This window comes from Homo sapiens, chromosome 2, assembly GCF_000001405.40.
Source record: "Homo sapiens chromosome 2, GRCh38.p14 Primary Assembly".
Classification (NCBI taxonomy): Eukaryota; Metazoa; Chordata; class Mammalia; order Primates; family Hominidae; genus Homo; species Homo sapiens.
In genome coordinates, this window is record NC_000002.12 from 39,097,827 (window position 1) to 39,123,257 (window position 25,431).

The window sequence follows — 25,431 nt, forward strand, 5'->3', positions numbered from 1 at the left end:
AGTGCTGGGATTACAGGTGTGAGCCACTTTGCCCAGTGAAGTTAATTCTTAACCCTTGATTAAAACAGTTTAAGTGCTGAACATTATTATTTCTTGGAATCTATATAAGCTTTAAATTAACTATTTTTAAATTTACATATTTTTATTAGGAAATGTTTATATCAATACAGCAAAACTAAATTTTAGAAACACTGGGCATCATTAGTTTAGATATCATTAGTTTATTACAAAAGAAAGACATGAAAATTATTTTACATGATAGAAGATTTCAGAATTACAGAATGGGCAGCTTCATGTTGATGCCATTTCAATATGATTTATTTCAGTCTATATAGTTTGCAAGAATGTCACCATCTTTAAATGAGAAGTAATCCTTGTTGTCTAGAACTACTTTGGTGCCTACATATTCTGGGAGAACTCTATCTCCAACTTACATGTTAACTGGTTAACTCTCCACCCTTTACTTTAGAGTCTGATCCAACATCTACTGTTGCTTACAATACTTTTCCTTGAGATTTTTCTGGAAGCATGTCTCCTTTGGTTACAGTTTCAGGCACATTCCTTTCATCAATACACGGTCATACAGTGGAAGAAACCTTCTAAAAGCGTGTGCTGACAAAACTCCCACTGCTACAGCTTGTACTCTACTCTCCTAAATTAACTATTTGTTATTAATCACAATACTATATCTATAAGAAGACTTCACTTCACATAATGGGAAAAAATACTTGCGATTCATATATTTGATAAGGAACTTACATTCAGAATATATAAAAAATTTGGCCGGGTGCGGTGGCTCACGCCTGTAATCCCAGCACTTTGGGAGGCCGAGGCAGGCAGATCACGAAGTTAGGAGATCAAGGCCATCCTGTCTAATACGGTGAAACCCCATCTCTACTAAAAATACAAAAAATTACCCAGGTGTGGTGGCAGGCGCCTGTGGTCCCAGCTACTCAGGAGGCTGAGGCAGGAGAATTGCCTGAACCCGGAAGGTGGAGGTTGCAGTGAGCCAAGATTGTGCCACTGCACTCCAGCCAGGGCAACAAAGCGAGACCACACCTCAAAAAAAAAATATTCTTACAACTCAACAGTAAAAAGACAACCCAATTTTAAAATGGGCAAAGGATCTGAACAGATATTTCTTCAAACAAGATCTACAAATGTTCAATATGCACATGAAAAAATGTTCATCATCAGTTATTAGGGTAATACAAATGAAAACCACAATGAGATATCACCTCATATCCACTAAGATGGCTAGAATAAAAAAGACAAGTGTTGGTGAAAATATAGAAACTGAAAGCCTTCCACACTGCTAGTGGGAATGAAAATATGCAGCTATTCTTAATAGCCAATAGGTAGAAACAACCCAAATGTTCATCTATTGATGAATGTATAAGCAAAATGTAGTATACATCAATGCAACACAATACTATTTAGTCGTAGAAATGAAGTACTGATACATGCTAAAATATGGATGAACCTTGAAAACATTTTGCTAAGTGAAAAAAGGCAGTCATGAAAGACTACATATTATGAGTCCATTTATATGAAATGTCCAGAACAGACAAATCCATAAAGACAGAAAATAGATTAATGGTTACCTGGGGCTGGAGGTTTGGAGGATGATGGCTAAAGGGTATGGAGTTCTTTCTGAGGTGATGAAAATGATTTATAATTGATTGTGCAATAGTTGCACAGCTCTGTAAATATACTAAAAACTACTGAATTGTATAGGTTAATACTAGTTCCTTGATATTTTTTTGGATGGCATACCAAAAGCCCAGGCAACAAAAGCAAAAATAAACAACTTGGACTACATCAAACTAAAAAGCTTCTGCACAGCAAAGGAAACAATCAACACAATCAAAAGGCACCCTACAGACTGGGAGAAAATGTTTACAAACCATATATCTTTTTTTATTGTTTTGGAGACAGAGTCTCACTCTGTGCCCAGGCTGGAGTGAAGTGGCACGATCTCGACTCACTGCAACCTCCACCTCCCCAGTTCAAGTGATGCTCCTGCCTCAGCCTCTGGAGTAGCCGGGATTACGGGCCCTGCTAATTTTTAGTAGAGATGGGGTTTCCCCATTTTGGCCAGGCTGGTCTCAAACTCCTGACCTCAAGTGATCCACCTGCCTCGCCCTCCCAAAGTGCTGGGATTACAGGCATGAGCCACTGTGCCCGGCCAAGACTGTTTTTTTCTGAAGAAGACATACTAATGACAAACAGGTATATGAAAAGGTACTCAACATCATTAATCATCAGAGAAATGCAAATCAAAACCACAATGAGATATCATCTCACACCTGTTAGAATGACTCTTTTGGTAAGAGATAACAAGTGTTGGTGAGGGTGTGGAGAAAAGGAAACCCTTGTAGACTGTGGATGGGAATATAAATTGGCACAGCCATTATGGAAAACAGTAATGGAGGTTCCTCAAAAACTTAAAAATAGAACTACCATATGACCTAGCTGGGTATGTACTCAAAGGAAATGAAATCAGCACCTGGTAGAGATATCTGTGCTACTGTGTTCATTGCAGTATTAGTCACAATAGCCAAGTTATGGAAACAATGTGTCAACTGACAGATGAATGAAAAAAGAAATTGTGATACACACAGATACACACAATGGAATATCATTCAGCCTTAAAAAATGAGATACTGCCATTTGCAACTACACGGATAATAAACCCAGAGGACATTACACTCAGTAAAATAAGCCAGACACTGAAAGAAAATACTGATGACATCGCTTATATATGGAAATCTGCAAAAAGTCTAACATATAGAAACAAAAGAGCAGGCCAGGCGTGGTGACTCATACCTGTGATCCAAGCAGTTTGGGAAGCCAAGGCAGGAGGATTCCTTGAGACTAAGAGTTCAAGACCAGCCTAGGCAACACAGTGAGACCCTGTCTCTACAAAAAATTTAAAGAAAAATAGCTGGGTGTGGTGGTACACACCTTTAGTCCTAGCTACTTGAGAGGCTGAGGAGGGAGGATCACTTAAGCCCAGGAGGGGGAGGTTGCAGTGAGCCGAGACTGCACCACTGCACTCCAGCTTGGGCAACAGAGTGAGACCTTGTCTCAAAAAAATAATAAAATACAGCAAGGAGACATGGAGAAAAACAAAAACAAAAATGTGTTTAACTGTCTTTTAGTCTATTTGCATTGCTATAAAGAAATACCTGAGGCTGGGTAATTTATAAAGTAAAGAGTTTTACTTGGCTAACAGTTCTGCAGGCTGTACAAGAAGCGTGCCGCTAGCATCTGCTTCTGGTAAGGACCTCAGGAGGTTTCCAATCATGGCAGAGCCAAAGGGGGAGCAAATGTGTCACATGGCAAGAGAGAGGGGAAGTGTGTCACACTCTTCTGAACAACCAATTCTCACATGAACGAATAGAGCAGGAATTCACACATTACCTCTGGGACAAGGATGGTACCAACCCATTCATGAGGGACCTGCCCCATGACCCCGAACACTTCCCACCAGGCCCCCACTGTCTAACACTGAGACGTGAGATTGGAGGTGGACAAATTTCAACATGAAATTTGGAGGGGTCAAATATCCAAACTATATCAAACTGCAAAAGTAGTTTCATTATTATGCCTAGATCAACTGTTGAACAACTAGATGATACAGAAATAAACTTTATGCATAGCATTATATGTATCCTGACAGCATTATAGGCACCCATCCTAACTATACCTGGTTTGAATTATATTTATTTAGAAACTATAAAAATTTTGTTCCAAATGTTGAAATTTCTGACAAAGCAACATTTATATTAGGAGTATAAGGAAATGTTTAAAATATACTTAAAAAAAAACAGAAAACAAACTAGCAATGTCTCCTCCATAAAATGCTTGACAAACTTCAGAATAATTTTTTGCTTTTAATTACCAGCAGTATATAGGGAAAAAGGGTTTTCAAAGTTGAGGACTTCCCAAATGTACTCCAGGTAACACCAGGTGAAGGTGAGGGAACAGCTTAATGCTACTCACTGCTTGAGCAAAAGAAAAAATCATTTTTTATGACCTGCCTATGTATTGAGTTTCATTTTGATTCTTTTTTTAATTAAAAAGTACTACTTTAGGCCAGGCTCAGTGGCTCATGCCTGTAATCCCAGCACTTTGGGAGGCTGAGGTGGGCGGATCACTAGGTCAGGAGTTCGAGACCAGCCTGACCAACATGGAGAAACCCCATCTCTACTAAAAATGCAAAAATTAGCCAGGCGTGGTGGCAGGCCCCATAATCCCAGCTACTCGGGAGGCTGAGGCAGGAGAATCACTTGAACCTGGGAGGCAGAGGTTGCAGTGAGCTGAGATCATGCCATTGCATTCCAGCCCGGGTGACAGTGCGAGACTCTGTCTCAAAAAAAAAAAAAAAAAAAAAAAAAAGTGCCACTTTGTCCCGGTGTGGTAGCTCATACCTGTAAACCCAGCACTTTGGGAGGCTAAGGCAGGAGGATAGCTTGAGCCTACGAGTTCAAGACCAGTGTGGGCAACATAATGAGAGTTCATCTTTACCAAAGGGGAAAAAAAATTAGGTGGGTGTGGTGGTACACACTTGTAGTCCTAGCTACTCAGCTAGACTAGGTTGAGGTAGGAGGATCACTAAAACCCAGGAGGCCAAGGCTGTAGAGAGCCGTGATCATACTACTGCACTCCAGCCTGGGCAACAGAGCAAGACTCCATCTCAAAAAAAAAAAAAAAAAAAAAAAAAGAAGAATTCCGCTTCGTTTTAAAAGGGTTATAGGTGAGGGGAAACAACAAGGATTTTGAAGTCCAGAAGATCAGGTTATATAGATTCTGGAAAAGAAAGACTGGTGCGGCCGGGCATGGTAGCTCACGCCCATAATCCCAGCACTTTGGGAGGCTGAGGCTGGTGGATCACTTGAGCAGAGGAGTTCAAGACCATCCTGGCCAACAAGGCAAAACCCTGTCTTACCAAAAATACAAAAATTAGCCAGTGTGATGTGTGGTGTGGTGGCATGCACCTGTAGTCCCAACTACTCAGGAGGCTGAGATGGGAAGATTGCTGGAGCCCAGGAAGTTGAGGCTACAGTTAGCTGTGATCACGCCACTGCACTCCAGTCTGGGTGACAGGGCGAGACCCTGTCTCAAAAAAATAAATAACTTAAAAAAAAAATTTAAGTAGTTGTGTTTCTATGCATATGCAATGAATAATCTGAAAAAGAAATTAGGAATGCAATTCCATTTAACATTGAAAAGAACAATAACATCTAAAAGAGTACCTAGAAAGAGATTTAACCAAGGAGGTGAGTTTTACCCTGAAAACTACAATACGCTGCTGCAGAAAATTTAAAATAACCAAAATAAATTAAAAGCCATTCTGAGTTATTGAGTAGGAAGACTTAATATTGTTGACATCAATACTACCTAGAGCAATGTACAGATTCGATGCAATCTCTATCAAAATTCCAAAATCTTTTCTTGCAGAAACGGAAATGCTGACCCTCAAATTCACAGAGCTGCAAGGGACACTGAAAAGCCAAAACAATCAAGAAAAAAAAAAGTTGGAACACTCACACTTTCTGACTTCAGAACTTACTACAATGCTACAGTAATCAAAATAATATGGTACTGAAAAAGCATAGACATATAGACCAACAGCATAAAACTGAGCATACCAAAATAAACTGATACATCTATGACCAACTGATTTGTGCCAAGTCCATTCAATGGAGAAATAAGACCCTGCTCAACAAATGGTGCTGGGACAACTGGATTTCCACAAGCAAAAGAATGACGTTGGACTCCTAACTCATACCAAACACAAAAATTAACTGAAAATATATCAATGACCTAAATATAAGAGCTAAAACCATAAATCTCTTAGAAGAAAACATAGGGGCAAATCCTCATGACCTTGGATTTGGCAATGAATTCTTAAGATCTGACACAAAAAGCACAAGACAATGAAAGAAAAAACAGATAAATCTGACTTCGTCAAAATTAAAAACTTTCGTTCATCAGAGGACATTATCAAGAAACTAAAAAGATAAACTTTTGATTGGGTTTAAATGAGAGAAAATATTTGCAAATCATATATTGGATAAAGGTCTAATATCAAGAATATATAATAAGGATCTCCTAAAACTCAACATCAAAAACACAAACAACCAAATTAAAAAATGGGCAATGGTCCAGGCGCAGTGGCTCACGCCTGTAATCCCAGCACTTTGGAAAGCCGAGGCGGGGGTGGATCACCTGAGGTCAGGAGTTCTAGACCAGCCTGGCCAACATGGTGAAACCCCGTCTCTATTAAAAACCTAAAAATTAGCCAGGCATGGTGGTAGGTGCCTGTAATCCCAGCTACTCATGGGGCCGAGGCAGGAGAATTGCTTGAACCCAGGAGGCAGAGGTTGCAGTGAGCCTAGATCACACCATCACACTCCAGCCTGGGGGACAACAGCAAGACTTCATCTCAAATAAATAAATAAATAACTAATTTAAAAAGGGGCAATGAATTTGAATAGACATTTCTATAAAGACATACAAATGGCCAATAAGCACATGAAAAGATGCTTAATATCATTACTGGTTAGAGAAATACAAACCAAAAGGACACCAACTAAGATGGGATAAGAAAAGAAAGAAAATAGCAAGTGTGGGCAAGGAGGTAGAGAAATTGACATGTGTACATTGCTGGTAGGAATGTAAAATATTGCAGGTTCTGTGAAAAACAATATGGCAGTTCCTGAAGAAGCTAACCACAGCGAATTACAAAAACAACCCAGCAATTCCATTCCAAGGAACATACCCAGATGAATTGCAAATAGGGACTTAAACCAATAATTGTATGCCAATGTTCACTGCAGTATCCAGTTTAGCCAAAAGGTGCAAAATGTCCACCTGAATAGAGTATTACTGAGCATTAAAAAGGAATGAAATTCTGGTACATACTGCAACACAGATGAACCTTGAAAATATTATACTAAATGAAAGTAGTCAGACACAAAAATACAAATATTTTATTATTCCACTTACATTAAATATCTAGAAGAGGTAAATTGGTAGAGACAGAAAGTAGATTAGAAGTTACTAGGGATTGGGAAAGAATAGATGGTAGTAATCGTTGCACAACATTGTGAATGTAATTAATGGCCTTCAATTGTACATTTCAAGTGGTTAAAATGGCAAATTTAATGTTGTATAAATATATTTCACCACAATAAAAAAAATCAAAGAAAAAGTTATTAAATGTTCTATAGAAATCAGCCCTAGCAAAGCTCTTAAACAAAACATCTATGAATTAATTATCAGTAAGTGCATTCCATTACAAATTACTGAGCCGTACACAGAAAATAATTGTTTCAGGCATTAAAAAAGAACAACTGAAATTTAAGTTAGCTTACTACAAAAAGTTTGTATCAATTAAAAACAACTTAAATTCTGTCAAGACTTGTTTTTCATTTTTTTTTAAATCCTGAACTATTTTTTTTTTTTTTAAATAGAGATGGGGTCTCACCATGTTGCCCAGGCTGTCTCAAACTCCTGGCCTCAAGCTGGTACAGCATCCTAAAGTGCTGGGATTACAGCTGTGAGGCACCAAGGCTGGCTGCCAAACTACTTTCTACATACTAGGATTGATCATATTTACAGTTGGGCTGCTTAACTCATATGGACAGATTACAGATTTTTTTTGAACACCACATATAAGTTTCATAAAAGCAACAATTATGTTTTATTTTTAAATTTTATATCCATGCTTGCCATACAAATAGTGCTCAACTAATTTGGTAAATAAAATCAAACCAGTGGCCAGGCCTGCTGGCTCACAACTGTAATCCTAGCACTTTGGGAGGCCGAGGTGGGTAGATGACCTGAAATCAGGAGTTCAAGACCTGCCTGGCCAACATGCGAAACCCTGTCTCTACTAAAAATACAAAAAAAAATAGCTGGGTGTAGTGGCAGGCACCTGTAATCCCAGCTACTGGGGAGGCTGAGGTAGGAGAGTCACTAGAACTCTGGGTGCAGAGGTTGCAGTGAGCCGAGATCGCACCATTGCACTTCAGCCTGGGCGACAGGGTGAGACTCTGTCTCAAAAAGAAAAAGAAAAATCAAAACAGTAAAAATCAGTCCAGGCGTGATAGCTCACACCTGTAATCCTAGCAATTTGGGAGGCCCAGGCGGGTGAATCTCCTGAGCTCAAGAGTTTGAGACCAGCCTGGGCAACATGGTAAAACCCTGTCTCTAACAAAAAATACAAAAAAATTAGCCGCGCATGGTGGTACGTGCCTGTGGTCCCAGCTACTTCGGAGGCTGATGTGGGAGGTTCACTTGAGCCTAGAAGGTGGAGGCTGCAGTGAGCTGAGACTGTGCTACTGTACACACACACACACACACACACACACACAAATCAGCATGAAGCATTAAAGTAGCATTAAAGGTTCCTCAAGTAATCTTCCTGTTACAGTTTTAAAAAAAAAACTTTCTTAAATAACATCTGAGTGGCCGGGCGCGGTGGCTCACGCCTGTAATCCCAGCACTTTGGGAGGCCGAGGCGGGCGGATCACGAGGTCAGGAGATCGAGACCATCCCGGCTAAAACGGTGAAACCCCGTCTCTACTAAAAATACAAAAAAATTAGCCGGGCGTAGTGGCGGGCGCCTGTCGTCCCAGCTACTTGGGAGGCTGAGGCAGGAGAATGGCGTGAACCCGGGAGGCGGAGCTTGCAGTGAGCCGAGATCCCGCCACTGCACTCCAGCCTGGGCGACAGAGCGAGACTCCGTCTCAAAAAAAAAAACAAAAAAAAAAACAAAACATCTGAGTAATTCAGGGTCCATAAAACCAAATCTTTAAATTACTTATTTTCCCATGTATATCTCCACTCCCAACTCCAACAGGAAGTTACCAGAATTTGACATTCTGAGGAATTTCATTCACTGGTTTGCGCCTTTCTGCCTGTGAGGTAGCCCAGACTAGCAAGGAAAACCAACAAGGAGTCATCTTCGTGGCCACATGGTTGGACTATTCACGAACTTACTGCTGGTTTGCCTCAAGTACTCCTGGTTCACCAGTTCATAGAGTAAAAATTTGGGGTGTTACTTGAATTGTTTTCTTTTGTCTTACTGTTCTGTTTGTGGTTTTGCATATTAAGTATTTAATTACATAAACATTGAATATGAATGCAAAGTTTATATGATTAGCTACTGAAGTAAATTGTGTACCATTAATTTCAATGAAAATTAATTTCTGACTTTTAAGAATTCACCTTAAGGCATCCTTTTTTTTTTCTTTTAAATACAGGGGTTTTTTGGGAACAAATTACCCACCTGAAATGGGGAAAAACTGTACTTTATCCCGAATTAGGCAATTCATAGCCAGAGATGACCCTAATTGATCATGAGAACGAGCCTCTCAGATCTCTGACTACAGGAAGGATAATAGACTGAGTGCTGCAGCAGCTGCACTCAAATCCATCACTGTGTTTGTGTCGAGGCCAGTTTCTCACTAGCTCCTCCCAGTCACTGACTGAGCATGGCAGGCCTGTTCCCGGGAGACACATCATTTTTCCAACAGGCACCTTTCACTCAAAGACTTTCTGAGGCCTTGCAAACTTTCCTTAGTATTGCACTACAGTCTAAGACACTTTCACTCAAAGTTCCTTCCTTCCTTACCTCTCTTTTAACTTGGAGTCAGACTTTCATCAGTCTGACAACTCTCCCTGTCTCCTTCCTTTTCCCCCCTCACAAGCATTTCACCTAACAAATTTCTTATGTGCTTAATCCCATCTTGGCATCTGCTTCTAAGAGGTCCTGGACTAATACAATGACAAAGGCTCCCCTTGAAGCATCACACTAAAAAGAAAAAAAAAAAAAAAAAACCTAGCCATTTTACATTAACTATTTCTAAAATATAGTATTTGCTTCCCTATTTGCTAAAACAAAATATACTAAACATGACTATTCCAAAATTCTGTAGGTACTAAGAATATGAAGAGATTCACTCTACTCAGGGGATGGAGTTGTAGTAGAAAGGCTTTGTGGAGGAGGTGGTGTTTGAAATGTACTTTAGAGCCATCCTCAAAGCCTTGAGGCTATACCTGCCTGTGATTATCAAGGACAGTCCATCAAACAGGCCTTCCACGCTTGGATATCTGCCAAAGAGTAAATCCCTCCTATCACAATTCTCTCACAGCCCTCTAATCTCTAGAATACTGATGGTGCCTTAGTCTCCCTCCAAACGTGATCCTCTCCCAATATTCCCCCTTTCATCACCATCCCCACTTAGACACCTCAGTCAGAAACCTGGGAATCCTCTCACTGCCCTGCTCAATTCAATCACCAATCTGCCTCTAAATCTCTCTAATTAATTTGTCCACTTTTCTCCATCCCCACAGCTACTGCTCTAATCAAAGCCACCTATCATCCCTTCCATGAACTACTGCAAAATCTCCTCAACTGGCTTTCCTGCCTACAGTTCAGTTCCCATTTAATCCATGCTCCATACAGTCTACAGCAGTCCTTCAAAATTCATGTGTGTCAGTTCCCTGCTTAAAACCCTGCAGTTGCTCCCCACTGCTGACAAGATAAAATGCAATAATTTGATTCACACGATCTGGCCCCCACTCCAGACTTCAGCTACTCAGAACTCCAAAAATGCTGAGTTCCTCTTGGCCTCCAAGCTACCACAAATCCTTGGAATTTATTTCCTCCTAATCCTTAACTGGCTAACTCTCATTTCCATTCACTCATTCATTCATTCATTCACCCATTTATGGTCCCACTTCCATTTAAAAAGTCACTTCTGGCCAGGCACAGTGGCTCACTCCTGTAATCCCAGTGCTTTGGGAGGCCAAGGCAGGAGGATCACTTGAGGCCAGGAGTGTGAAACCAGCCTGAGTAACACAGTGAGACCCTGTCTCTACAAAAAAAATTTTTAAAAATTAGCCAGGAGTGGTGGTACACACCTGTAGTCCTAGCTACCTGGGAGGCTGAGGTGCAAAAATTGCTTGAGCCTAGAGGTTCAAGGTTACAGTGAGCTATGATTATGCCACTGCACCCCAGCCTCGGTGACAGAGTAAGACCTGGTGTCTTTAAAAAAAAAAAAAATTATATGGGCTGGGTGCAGTGGCTCACATATGTAATCCCGGCACACTGGGAGACTGACGCAGGTGAACTGCTTGAGCTCAGGAGTTCAAGACCAGCCTAGGCAACATGGTGAAACCCCGTCTCTACCAAAAATACAAAAATTAGCTGGGTGTGGTGGCATGTGTCTGCTGTCCTACCTACTCAGAAGGCTAAGGTGGGAGGATTGCTGGACCCCAGGAAGTTGGGGCTGCAGTAAGCCATGATCGCACTACTGCACTCCAGCCTGGATGACAGAGCGAGAACTTGTCTCGAAAAAATAAAATAATAAAATGAAATAAAATAAATTAAATGTCACTTCCATCACTTCCAAACATAAGCATACAAGGACAGTCTCCTAGCTTCTCATTGCCACCTAAAGACCATTAATCTCAGCCAGTTCCTTTATGGTCTGTGCTATCTTTCCATTAACCAGCATCTTTTAAAATTCTACCTTTTTTAATGCAACAGAACCCTTTTTTTCCAAATGAAATTCTATGCAAAGCCCCAATATGTAAAAGGGCTGAGCTCCTCAGCTTAAAGTAGGGGATTTCAAAGCCCTGTCCATTCAGCCTCCCCCTCTCCTGAGATACTTCTTCCTTAAAAAGCTAAGGTTCAGGACAATTAGAGCACCATCGTACTGCATTATACTTCCTACTCAAAAAAGGCAACACACTGGAATATAAAGAGTTGTCTTTGAAGCTATTCTGACTTAGGTTCAAATCCTGATTCTACTCCTTACTAGTCATAACATCTTGTGCAGTTTGTCCTCATAAAATCTATTTCCTCAGCTGTACAACTGGGACATTACCACTTTCAAAAGTCAATGGGTACAACAGAGATAAGCATGTACACAATATTGCCTAGGATACTGGCACATAGCAGGAACTCAATAAAATACTATCTGCCATGGTTCATTAACACAGCAATGAAAGATTAACATTCAAAAAGATCTAGAAATACTAAAACATAGCTTTTAAAAGAACAAAATTGGAGTATTACACTACCTAACGTCAAAACTTACTATAAGTAGAGAAATCAACAATTAGATAAATGGAGAATGGAGAGCCTAGAAATAAACTGACAGAGATACAGATACAGTTGTGTGTGTGTGCGTGTGTGTGTGTGTGTGTGTGTGTGTGTGTGTGTGTGTGTATGTGCATGTATGTATATAGTCATCCCTCGGTATCCATGGGGGATTGGTTCCAGGACCTCCCTCAGATACCAGAATCTGCAGATGCTCAGTAATCCTACAGGAAATGGTGTAGCATTTGCATACAACCTGTGCACATCCTCCCACATACCTTAAATCATCTCCAGATTACTAATAATAACTAATACTATGTAAATAGTTGTACTGTATTGTTTAAGGAGTAATGACCAAAAAAATCTGTACAAATTTAGTATAGATGCAATTTCCCCCCATCCTCCTCCCGCAGATACTTTTGATCCACAGTTGTTTGAATGCACAGATGCAGAGGACTGACTGCATATATACATACACACGAATCATGTAATTTTCATAAAAATATCAACACAATCCAATAGAGAAAAGAAAATCTCTTCAACAGGCTACTACTCTAGGCATACTGCCTATGGCACAGCCCTGCTCTGCAAGGAGCAATAAAAAAAAAAAAAAGAAGAGGGTTTCTTCAACGGATAGTTCTGAAATAACTAGATATCAGCATTAAAAATAAATGTATTTCAATTCCTACCTTGTATCACAACACAACAATTAACTTGAAATGGACCACAGAGTCTATGAAAGCTACAAGTATAAAGCTTTTAAAAGACAACATTAGGAAAATATCGGCAAAGGGTTCTTAGATATAAGAGAGCAATAACCTTAAAAGAAAAAAACATATATTTGACTCCATCAGTATTAAAAACTCCTGGCTGGGCACAGAGGCTCACACCTATAACCCCAGCACTTTGGGAGGCTGAAGCGGGTAGATCACTTCAGGTCAGGAATTCAAGACCAGCCTGGCCAACATGGAGAAACCCCATCTCTATTAAAAATACAAAAATGGGCCAGGCATGGTGGCTCATGCCTGTAATCCCACTTTGGGAGGGCGAGGCAGGTGGATCACCTGAGGTCAAGAGTTTGAGACCAGCCTGGCCAACATGGCGAAACCCTGTCTGTAATAAAAATACAAAAATTATCCAGGTGTGGTGGCACATGCCTGTAATCCCAGCTAATCGGGAGGCTGAGGCAGGAGAATCACTTGAACCCAGGAGGCGGAGGTTACAGTGAGACGAGATTGTGCCACTGCACTCCAGCCTGGGAGACAGAGCAAGACTCCATCTCAAAAAAAAATAATAATAATAAGATGGATTCAAGGATGAAGGGATGGATAGGCATGCCATAGAGCAAACATAATAAAATTGTAATAAAATGTTAATTATAAAATCTGGGTGATGGGTATACGAGTGTTTACTGTACAATTCTTTAGACTTTTCTGTGTATTGAAAAATCTTCATGACAAAATGTTAGGGTAAAAACTTTATCACAAGACAAAATTCTAAAATGAAGTACAAAGTTTCTTCCTATTTTGTCTATAGCTGTAATAAATACTACATCAGAGGAGGTGAGAAGTAGTTGCCACTTTTACTATTATTTGTTTAAAACATCCTTACTGCTGTTACTTCTGGACCTTCCTGCCACTCCTAGAATACAGTCTCCCTCTCTGCTACAGTACACTCCATAATCTCTGTGGACTTCATCATCATTCCCATATGCAACCCAATACATCAACTTTAGAGCTCCTAATTGTCTTACCTGCTTCATCTCTGGAATCCTTTTTTTTTTTTTTTCTTTTTTTGAGACGGAGTTTCGCTCTTGTTGCCCAGGCTGGAGTGCAGTGACACAACCTTAGCTCACTGCAACCTCCACCTCCAGGTTTCAAGCGATTCTCCTACCTCAGCCTCCCGAACAGCTGGGACTACAGGCACACACCACCACATCCAGATAATTTTTGTATTTTTGGTAGAAGTGAGGTTTTGCCATGTTGGCCAGGCTGGTCTTGAACTCCTGAGCTCAAGTGATCTGCCCTCCTTGGCCTCTATCTCTGGAATCTTAAAACTCCAAAATATAACAATTGTCATCATCTCTAATCACATCCCCTATCTACTCCCACTATCCTTCTCTTCTAACTCACCAAGATTTTGAATCCATGGAGCCCTAATTTTTCTTCCAATCCATTATTTCTCTTATATACCCTTACTTCCTCTCTATCACTTGAAATATCCCTATCTTCTTAATCTCTACTGCCGCTACCTGCAACCAACTGTCTTCTCTCCCGGCTTACCTGAACAGATAAGCGCTATTGGAGGAAAATCTCACAACCACCAGATCAACCCTACTCTGAGTTTATGGTCTCCACATTCAGCACTGCTGAGCAATTCCTCTCTCTCCCTCTCTCTCTTGCTCTTTCTTTCCCATGGCTCACTGCAGCATCAGCCTCCTGAGCTCAAGGGATCCTCCCACCTCAGTCTCCCAAGTGGCTGGGACTACAGGTGCGTACCACCATGCCAGGCTTTTGTTTTGTTTTGTTTTTTGGTAGAGACGGTGTTTCACCATGTTGCCCAGGCTGGTCTTGAACTCCTGGTTTCAAGTGATCCTCTCACCTCAGGCTCCCAAGTGCTGGAATTGCAGGCATGAGCCACCGCACCTGGCTTGCAATTCCTTTCTAAGGCACTGGTTGGCTCCTCTACACTCCACAGCAGCAATTCCCAGACTTCATTATTCCTTCTAAAGTCCTTACTACTTTCCTTTTCTTCACTCTGTAAAAAAAATTTGCCTTTCATTTCATCATGAAAATGGAGGTGATTTGGCCAGGTGCAGTGACTCATGCCTGTAATCTCAGCACTTCGGTAGGCCGAGGCGGGCAGACTGCCTGAGCTCAGGAGTTCAAGACCAGCCTGGGCAACATGGTAAAACCCTGTCTCTACTAAAACACAAAAGATTAGCTGCGTGTGATGGAGTGCGCCTGTAATCCCAGCTACTGGGGAGGCTGAGGCAGAGTTGCTGGAACCTGGGAGGTGGAGGCTACAGTGAGCGGAGATCACACCACTGCACTCCAGCCTGGGCGACAAGAGCAAGACTCTGTCTCAAAAAAAAAAAAGAAAAGAAAAGAAAATAGAAGTGATTATTTAGCATGAACTCCCTGCTCCCCAACCTACAAACCCATCTTTATCACTTTCCCTCCTGTATCTCATAAGAAAAGATGTCATCACCCCTGCCAGAGGTAGCATCACTTAGTGTTTTATTCATTAATGTATTTAGAGACACAGTCTCACTCTGTAACCCAGGCTGGAGTGCAGTAGCCCAATCATAGCTCACTGCAGCCTCAAACACCTGAGCTCAAGCAATCTTCCCACTTCAGCCTCCTGAGTAGCTGAGACTACAGGCATGTACCACCATACCTGTCTTCTTTTTTTTTTTTTTTTCCCTTGTAGAGACAGGGTCTCACTATGTGGCCTAGGCTGTTCTCAAACTCCTCCTGCCTTGGCCTCCCAAAGTGTTGGCGTCAATAGCATGAGCCACCATGCCCAGCAATATAGTGTTTAAAAATACAGATTTTAGAGTTGGGGGAGGGAGGCCATGGTGCAAAAATAAATAAATAAAATAATTTTAAAAATAAAAATAAAGATTCTGTAACTAAATTACATGGGCAAATTTAACTTTCCAAACCTTGATTTTCTCTCCTGTAAAAAGGAAGCCGTAATAGTATCCTATGAGAATTAAATGAGAACACAGGTGAAGTGCTTACCTTATCTCCCAAACAGTTCAAGGCAAATCCCATTGCTTTGTGTTCCTGAATCTTCACCAGCATTCTCTATTAGCTCCTTCCTCAAAGGCTCTTAGTAAGTTTTTGTCATCTCCAAGCAAGAAGCAAAAATGTCTTACCCAATCTTGAATCTCTTTTTTGCCTCAGCACTATCTCTTTTCCCTTCCTTTCCAAGCTTCTAGAAAAAAATAATCTGAGCAAAAAGGTCAGCAGCCCTTGCTATTCTTACTTTTCCCATGTTCTTCCATCTTCTACTATCACAATAAAACTGCTCTGACATAGTGACCAATGACCCCTTAGCTGCCAAACTTAACACTTTTCAGGCCCTTTGACTTTTCTATAGCCTGGTATGATCAATGACTCTTTCTTTTCTTTCTATTTTTGTTTCTTTCTTTTTCTGAGACAGGGTTTTACCCTGTCACCCAGACGGCAGTGCAATGGCACGATCATGGCTCACCTCAGCCTCAACATCCCAGGCTCAGGCAATCCTCCCACCTCAGCCTCCTGAGTAGCCAGGACCACAGGTGCGTGCCACCAAGCCTGGCTAATTTTTTTTGTTTTTTGTTTTTCTTTTTGTTCTTTTCTTTTTTTTTTTTCTTTTTTTCTGAGATGGAGTTTCACTCTTGTTGCCCAAGCTGGAGTGCAATGGCACAATCTCAGCTCACCATAACCTCTGCCTCCTGGGTTCAAGCAATTCTCCTGCCTCAGCCTCCTGAGTAGCTAGGATTACAGGCATGCGCCACCACGCCCAGCTAATTTTGTATTTTTAGTAGAGATGGGGTTTCTCCATGTTGGTTAGGCTGGTATCGAACTCCTGACCTCAGGTGATCCCCCGCCTCAGCCTCTCAAAGTGCTGGGATTACAGGCGTGAGCCACCTGGCCCGGCTGATTTGTTTTTGTTTCTTTTTGAAACAGAGTCTAGCTCTGTCACCCAGGCTGGAGTACAGTGGTGTGATCTCAGCTCACTGAAGCCTCCAACTCCCAGGATTCTTGTGTCTCAGCCTCCCGAGTAGCTGGGATTACAGGCGTGCACCACCACGTCAGGCTAATTTTTGTATTTTTAGTAAAGACAGGGGTTTCACTATGTTGGCCAGGCTGGTCTCAAACTCCTGACCACAGGTGATCCACCTGCCTTGGCCTCCCAACATGCTAGGATTACAGGTGTGAGCCATCGCACACAGCCAACTCTTTTCTTGAAGCATTCCTCTCTCAACTTCTCAGACACTAGGGTTTCATTCCTTCTGCCTGACTCCTTGCTTCTCGGTCTCCTTACATCATTCCTTTTCCTCTGCTATCTCCCTATACACTATTTCCCACTCCCTTCCCCCACTTCTTATGCCAGCCCTTTTTCAGTCTTACTAAAATCATTTTCAGCGTGTGGTCTCATCTACTTTTTAAAATACCTTCATTGAGGTACAACTGACATACAATAAACTGCACATATTTAAAATATACAATCTGAAAAATTTCAGGATATGTACACACCCCTGAAACCATCAGCACAATCAAGATAAGTAAACATAAAAAGCCTCTCCCTAAACAACCACTGATCTGCACTAGTTTGCACCTTCTAGAATGTTCTATAAGTAGACTCATATAGTATATACTCTTTTTTGGTTTCCCTTCTTTCATTGAGTATAATTATTTTGAGATTCAGCCATGTTGTCATTTGTATCAAATTTGTTCTCTCTCTTTTTTTTTTTTTTTTTTTTTTTTTTGAGACAGGGTCTCATTTTTTTGCCCAGGCTGGAGTGCAATAGCACAATCACACCTCACTGCAGCCTTGACCTCTCAGACTCAAGCAATGCTCCCACCTCAGCCTCCCAAGCAGCTGGGACTACAGGCTCATGCCACCACACCTGGCTAATTTTTTTAAATGTTTTGGCTAATTTTTTAAGTTTTTTGTAGAGACAGGGTTTCATTATGTTGCCTAGGCTGGCCTGGAACTCTTGGGCTCAAGTAATCCTCCCACTTTGGCCTCCTAAAGTGCTGGGATTACAGGTGTGAGCCACCACACCCAGCCAGTTTGTTCCTTTTTATTGCTGAGTAGTATTCCACTGTTTGTATCACAATTTGCTTATTCATTCACCTGTTGACGAACATTGGATTTTTTCCAGTTTTTGACTGAAAAGAGATGCCATGAACATTCATGTATAAGTCTTTGTATAAGCTTCATCTATATTTATGGCTTTACTTACACATCTAGAAGTTCCAAATCTGCTTCATCAGATACCAACAACCAATAGTATTCCACTGTTTGTATCACAATTTGCTTATTCATTCACCTGCTGACGAACATTGGATTGTTTCCAGTTTTTGACTGAAAACAGCTGCCATGAACATTCATGTATAAGTCTTTGTAGAGGCTTCATCTATATTTATGGCTTTACTTACACATCTAGAAGTTCCAAATCTGCTTAATCAGATACCAACAACCAATAGCCAGTTGGAGAAGTTCACTTGAATAACCCAAACTTTTAAGTCAACATTTCCAAAAATCATCTTATTATGCCACTCCTCTCTCCATCCTAAGAGCTTCTCCTACATTCTCTATCCTGACTAAAGACAATCAAGTCAGAAACAAGACTATTCCTGTTCCATTACCATTCCCCCAATCACTCAGTGAGTTACTAGATCCTGTCAATTTTGCCTTGTAAACTTCTTTCAAATAAAATCCACATCCATATTTCCATCCTTGTTCAAATGCACCCTTAGTTCAAATGTGTATTATCTCTTGACTGGACTATTAAACTAGGCTTCTAACTTTTCTCCTCACTTTACGTCTCATTCTTCTCCAAACCATTTTCCATTCTATGGCCAAAGTGAATTTTCTAAAATTAAAATGTGCTGTTACTCCCCTACTTAAAACTTATTGGCTGGGCACAGTGGCTCACCCTGTAATCCTAGCACTTTGGGAAGCTGAGGCAGGCAGATGGCTTGAGCCCAGGAGTTCAAGACCAGCCTGGTGAAACCCCATCTCTACAAAAAATACAAAAATTATCTGGATGTGGCAGTGTGCCTACAGTCTCAGGAGGCTGAGGTGGGAGGATAGCTTAAGCCCAGGAGGTGGAGGCTGCAGTGAGCCAAGATCGCACCACTGCACTCCAGCCTGTTAAGACTCTGTCTCAAAACAAACAAACAAAACAAAAACAAACAAAAGAAACTTTATCAATGGCTTCTAATTACCCAAGAAAAAATTTAAATTCCTTAGCTTAACATATATAAAAACTGTTCATAAACCAGTTGTCTCTCCAGACATGCCCTGCCACTTCCCATCATGTTCTAATTTAGTCTTTTCTGATTATGTCATTTACTTTTTTTTTTTTTTTTTGAGACAGAGTTTTGCTCTTGTTGCCCAGGTTGGAGTGCAGTGGTGCAATCTCGCCCCACTGCAACCTCCGTCTTCCGGTTTCAAGCTATTCTCCTGCCTCAGCCTCCCGAGTAGCTGGGATTACAGGTGCCCACCACCACGCCAGGCTAATTTTTGTATTTTTTAGTAGAGATGGGGTTTCACCACGTTGGCCAGGCTGGTCTTGAATTCCTGACCTCGTGATCCGCCCACCTTGCTCTCCCAAAGTGCTGGATTACAGGCGTGAGCCACTGCGCCCGGCCCTGTCATTTACCTTTTTAGCCTGAGTGTCAAGGGCAATACCTGGTCTATAGTAGGCATGATATATTTGTGCAATAGATAAGATAGGACTTAGACTCATAGATGCGGTGAAACAGATACAGTGGGACATTCCAGCCATATTCAGGAAAAGTAGCAGTCCGGACTGGCTAAAGCAAAAAGGAGATAAAAGGTTATGGTAGACAATCCAGTCAGAAAAGCAGGATGAAGCCAAATATCAATTGCTGTTAATTCTATGCTAAAAAGTGCACTTTAGCATAGGTTGAACTCAAAAGACATCAACAATTCTGAGTGTGACATGTTCAGAAGTGTCCTATAACTGGTGAGATTTGAAAAACAGAAGGTGAGGTGGGGGCCAGTGAACCCCATTAAGAAGTTATCACAGTAGTCTGACAAAGGAGACTCAATTAGAGAAGTCGGAGGAGGAATAGACTAGAAGAACATGTCAAAGGGAAATGAACATACAGGCTCTACCTGAGTGTGCACAGTAATACAAAGAAGCCAGAGATGACCCCAACATTTTAAACCAGTCAAATGTAACAATAAAGCCATTAATCGAGAAGAAAAACTGAAATGACAGGTGGAGGAGAGAAGTGATAGTTTTAGTTTGTATATCCCCTCACCTATTTATTCAAATTGAGTGCCTACCAGATGTCAAGCACTATAAGTATGGGGAATAAAATGTGGGTAAGATATCATCCCTGTTCTCAAGGAGCATCCAATCTAGTTATAGGCAAGTAAATAGGAACTTAAAATTCACAGAGCTAGGACAGGGTGCAAAAAGAAAACAAAGGAGTAATATCCAACTCAGCCCTGATGATTTGACAGTTCAGGTTGAGTGAGTCTAGAAGGATGAGTAGTGTTGGACCAGGCAAAGAAGGATGAAGGGACTAGCATATCCAAAGAGCCTCAGGTAAGAGTAAGAGAACACAAGTCGGATGTATCTACGAATAATTCAATAACAAATCAAAGGAAGAAATCAAGATATGGAGATATCCACATGAAATGTCCAGCAGGCAAGTAAAAACGTAGGTTTTGAGCTACCAACAGCATATCCAGATATGAAACATACTGTATTTTCAATCTTGTTTAGAATCATTGTTAGTGGCTATTTAAATAAGAATTGGAAGAACCTTACATATCAGCTAGATTATGTACACTTCCACCTCCTCCTATCACTTCTACTGCAAAAGTATCTCTAACTTAAAGTCAAAAGCTGTTTTATGTAAATATGCAAAAAGGACAAGTGGGGGCTGTGGTAAGGTGGAGATACATGACCTGTCTAAAGAAGGGAGCCATTTACTCAACTCCAGCAGTTTAGTGCCTCGCTTGAATACAGGCCCTAAATGACAAGACCTTCCTATTCTTCAAGAAAAGCCGAAAATTCAGGTTTTATGTAATATCTCCCATTTTCAAATATTAGCAACTAATTACATTTAAAAATAAAACAACACTATGCCAGCCAAACAAAATGCTTTTGTGGACAGATTTCAGCAAGGGCCACCAGTGTGGCAGAATTAAACAACGTCTGTCAACTCCTACAATATTCTTTCCACTGCTTCAAAGGATCCTCAGCTGATACCTTGGTGATTCCCCTGGGAAAGGAGCTGCTTTTGCCTCTAAGCAAAATGGCCCCTATTTGGCAATGCTTTATGAGTTCCTTTACACGTTTTTAAACAATTTCCGTGTCTCCCCTTACTCTATCCGGACACCAGCTTCTAGCATCACAGAGACCTCCTACACCCCTTCCATTACAAGCTAAGAAGTCAAACTTGCAAGTAAAGCAAAAGTAAGGAGTGAGAGCCTGAAGGGATTTCTAAGGAGTAAAGTATGTAAGATATATGGCATCTTTTCTTCTGTTTTTTAAAAAAAATTACATAGATGTTTGTGACTAGTCAGACACTTGAAGGGGAAAATGTCCGTAATTTAAGCCAGAAATATATGAGCAAATTCTCCTGAAAAACCAAATAGTTTCCACTGTAAGACAGCAAGAGGGACCGGAGGAGAACAGGGCAAAAGGGAAAGTAAAAGTTACTGGCCTTTGAGAAATATCAGACACCTTTTAATGTTTAGCATAAAAGGTAAAACATAATCTCCATTCTTAGTAGAAGCAGTTAGCATGAAACATTCTTTGAGCAGCAAGAAACTGGGATTTAGAAACACTATTAGAAGAGTAAAGCAATCTTTACAGAAAAGGTAAATGAAGAAAAGAAAACAAAAATAGTCTGGTTGTCACACTGCTGCTTTAGAAGCTTTAAAAACGTAAGAACACTTCCTAATTATACTAAAACATTTAAAAGCACAGATCGGGGGTATGTAACTTCAGGTAACAATGTAGCAAACTTAAACATACAAAGGCTAAAAATTCTTAACAAGCCAAATGACAGCACCAAGAATCTCGAACGCTGCAAAAACAAAACAAAACCCCCCTGAAATTGGTAGCATGTGCACCAGCCCCTGTTAATCGGAGGAGCGGGGGAAACCAGGAGAATGAGGAGTGAATACTGACGGCGAGCAGAGCAGGCCACGTTCCTACTGGCAGGCGAGCTCGCAATTCCTTTGAGCAAGCCTTACGGCCAGGGCATTCTCAAGCCACTAAAACCAGCGTACTGGACACCTAAAACGGTAGGCTGACAGCAGCTCCGGGCTAAGACCAAGAAGACGGAAAAGTGGCCTGCTTTGACCTCCGCTGAAAACTGAGGCTCCTCCAACTGTTGTTGTCCTGGAATCAAAGGGCAAAGCATTCACCTCTCAGGGGTTGGATTATCCGGATAAACTCCCCCCGGCTCCCTGCGGCATTCCCACACACCCGGTGGATGTCAACACCGAGAGCCAGCCGTATGAGGGGGGCCTCTCCGTGTGCGCCGTCCTTTTGGAGACGCGGCGAGACCGGGAAGAAAGACGGCCCTGCGCGCGCCCCGCCTCCCCAGCCCTTCCCCAGCGCCCGCGCTGGGGGGCTGCGGCCGGGAAGCGGGGTCCCGCGTGCTCCTCACCTTTTTCAGCGCAGGCACCAGTAGTCCCCGCCACTTGGGCGCGTTCTCTTCGCTGAAAAACTCGTAGGGCAGCTGCTGCGCCTGCATGGTGCCCCCGGGGCGCCTCTGGGCGGGGAGAGGGGCGGCGGCGGCCGGGCCAGGGAGCCGCGAGAGGGCGAGCTCGCAGCGCGGAACAGGGCCGCGGCCCCACCGGACGGCCCGGCCCCCTCCGGGCGCCGCGCAGCCGGGCTAGCCCTGGCGAGGGGGCTGGGGGGCGAGGCCCGCGCCTGGCCACCCACCCGACACAGGTACCAGCCGTGGAGAACGGACGCGGCCCGGAGGCGGCGGCATCCCGCACCACCGCCCCGGGGCCAGGCCCCCCGCCCCTCCCCGGCCCGCCGGCGCCGCCCCGGGCTGCCCTCTGCCGCGGCCGCCGCCCGCCCGCCGGGGCTGCACTCCCGGGCCCGGTCTGGCCCCGCGGCGGAGCTGGCGGCTGGGGGAGGACGTGTGGAGGGACGCTCCGGCCGCGGCGCCCGCTCCGCGTAGTTGGGACTCCGAAACGCAAGAGCCCCGGGCGGGGCGGAGCTGGGGCGGAGGTCTCGCGGGGAAGGGGAAGGACCGGAGGTCGTTGTTGGGGAATCTGGCTGCCCTGAGGTGCCGCCGCGGCCGCCGCCGCCACCGCCGCCGCCGGTGTAGCGCTGGAGCTTCCTACTAGCGAACTGAACCTGCTCGCTACTGAGCATGCGCTGCCGTGCTGGGCTGGTTCGCTCCGGGTTTTCCGGCTCCCGGTGAAGGAGGAGGAAAGCTCGAGAGAGAAAGAGAGAGAGAGACAGGGAGGGCGCCCGGCCGGGCTGTGGCTGCGCTCCTGGGGGCTGCAGGGGAGGGGCGAAGGGGCCCGAGAAGTCGCACCCTGGCAAAGTGGGGCCTGCAAGGGTGGGTGATGACTAGGGTAAAGAGGCTCCCCATTGTGTGGCCTGGCCGTGAGGGCTCCCACCCTTCTCGGAGTCCCTGGGCCCTTCGTTTCGGAAAGGGGTGTGTGTACTTTGTTCCTGAACACGAAGATAAGGACTGCCCAGAGCACGCAATGTATAGTAAACAGACTGGACAAAAGACAGGTGCTCTGTCACGAAACCTACTGCTCAGTATCTGCTGAGTAGTAGAAGTGATTGCGGTGTTTCTAAGTGGTCTTTCCACAAAATAATAAAATGTGTACGTGTAGTATTGATTTTGTGTGAATGTTTTAGATTCCCTCTGTTCATCTTTTAAACCCACTCCAGAAATGAACTCCAGTAAGCACTTTCCTCCAGTGGATATCGAGACCTCTTTTACAGCTCCTAGAGCACTGCACTTATGCCCCTCTCAGGGCGTTCAGTCTATTGTGTTTTGTTATCTTTTGCGGTTCTTTCGACTAGATAATAAACTGGAAGGCAGATCTTTTTCACCAGGGCCTCTACACAGTGTAGAACAGGCACTCAGTCAATGTTAGTGGAATGCTAAAGGAGCAGTATTTATAAACTGTCCCTCCAGGCCACTGTTTGTTTATAATAGGGGCACTTTGTGGCAGACACCTTATGATTTATCATTAATTATCATTTTTTTGAGTATCATCTCATTTAATCCCCATAGCAACCCTATTATTTTCATTTCACCGATAAGAAGGCAGTTTAGAGGAACTAGCCTGGGTTAAAGCTGACATTGTGTCCTGCTATTCCTGAGAACAGTAACCAGGATCACATAAACGAGAAAGGTTCAGTGGTTCTTAATCTTTACAGGACCTCTTTGAAAATCTGGAAAAACAACTCTTAGGTTATTTCCTTTAAAAATACACAGGCCGGCCAGGCGAGGTGGCTCATGCCTGTAATCCCAGCACTTTAGGAGGCCGAGGCGGATGGATCACCTGAGGTCAGGAGTTCCAGACTAGCCTGGCCAACACTGTGAAAACCTGTCTCCATAAGAAATACAAAAATTAGCCGAGCATGGTGGTGGGCGCCTGTAATCCCAGCTACTTGGGAGGCTGAGGCAGGAGAATCGCTTGAACCCAGGAGGCAGAGGTTGCAGTGAGCCGGGATCATGCCACTGCACTCCAGCCTGGGCAACAAAACCAAAACTCCGTTTCAATTCAAAAAAAAATATACACACACACACACACACACACACACATACACACAGACCGGCCGGGCGCAGTGGCTCACGCCTGTAATCCCAGCACTTTGGGAGGCCGAGGTGGGCGGACCATTTGAGTTCAGGAGTTTGAGACCAGGCTGGCGAGACCCATCTTTATTGTTTTATTGAAAAAATAAAAATATACATACTTGGTTTACATTTGAAAAACTCCCCACTTTCAAAGTGTGTGGAATGAAAGCTGGAATTATAGGCGCCTGCCACCACACCCAGGTAATTTTTGTATTTTTATTAGAGATGGGGTTTCACTGTATTGGCCAGGCTGGTCTCGAACTCCTGACCTCGTCATCCACCCGCCTCGGCCTCCCAAAATGCTGTGATTACAAGCCTGAGCCACCGCGCCCGGTCAGCCCTCTTCAAATATTTAAAGGGTTGTGATATGGGGGAAGAGATTGGTTTGTATGGTTCCAAATGAACCAACATCAAGCCTGTACCCCAAACTATTGCTTGGCTTCCCATTGCTCTTAGAATACATTTCAAACTTCTTACCGTACCCCACAAAGGCGTGCATCTGGCTCCTGCTCACATTCTCAATGTTTTCTCACCATTCACAACCTCGCCTCACCACACTCCAGTCACAGTAGCCTTCTGTCTATTCCTAGAAAACAACAACCTGCCTAAAGAACATTGTTCTTCTCTCAGCCTAGAACCCCTAACTGTTCCCTTGGCTGGTTATAAACATCACCACCTCCAAGAGGCCTTCTCCGATCACTCCAAGTAATTCTCACCTGTGTATTTCTACCTTATGTTCTTTTTATTTCC

At 43.0% G+C, this 25,431-nt stretch overlaps 1 protein-coding gene and 1 pseudogene across 7 annotated transcripts in view, besides 3 other annotated features; both read right to left on the minus strand.

Moving 5' to 3' along the window:
• The window catches only part of SOS1 (SOS Ras/Rac guanine nucleotide exchange factor 1), a 143,320-nt gene that overhangs the window by 116,278 nt on the left and 1,611 nt on the right, over positions 1–25,431 (minus strand). For 4 of the 7 annotated variants that reach the window (NM_001382395.1, NM_005633.4, XM_047445584.1 and 1 more), the window contains exon 1: positions 22,510–23,225. The exons of 2 other annotated variants lie outside the window; for them this stretch is intronic. In NM_001382395.1, coding sequence (NP_001369324.1) covers positions 22,510–22,596 — 87 coding nt within the window. In that variant the 5' untranslated portion in view covers positions 22,597–23,225. Of the gene's footprint in view, positions 1–22,264; positions 23,226–25,431 lie in introns of those variants that run through there. One more of the 7 variants, XM_047445582.1, reaches the window with a different exon arrangement.
• HSPE1P13 (heat shock protein family E (Hsp10) member 1 pseudogene 13) lies at positions 131–651 on the minus strand (annotated as a pseudogene).
• Positions 12,240–12,739: an enhancer, noted in NCBI's record as "H3K4me1 hESC enhancer chr2:39337207-39337706 (GRCh37/hg19 assembly coordinates)". NCBI's record gives its function as "activates a minimal SCP1, AML or CMV promoter by ChIP-STARR-seq in naive H9 embryonic stem cells {active_cell/tissue: H9 hESC(naive)}" and the evidence as "EXISTENCE:reporter gene assay evidence [ECO:0000049][PMID:30033119]".
• Positions 22,095–22,174: an enhancer, noted in NCBI's record as "active region_15612". NCBI's record gives its function as "activates an Ori minimal core promoter by ATAC-STARR-seq in GM12878 lymphoblastoid cells {active_cell/tissue: GM12878}" and the evidence as "EXISTENCE:reporter gene assay evidence [ECO:0000049][PMID:35858748]".
• Positions 22,375–23,094: a silencer, noted in NCBI's record as "silent region_11384". NCBI's record gives its function as "represses an Ori minimal core promoter by ATAC-STARR-seq in GM12878 lymphoblastoid cells {active_cell/tissue: GM12878}" and the evidence as "EXISTENCE:reporter gene assay evidence [ECO:0000049][PMID:35858748]".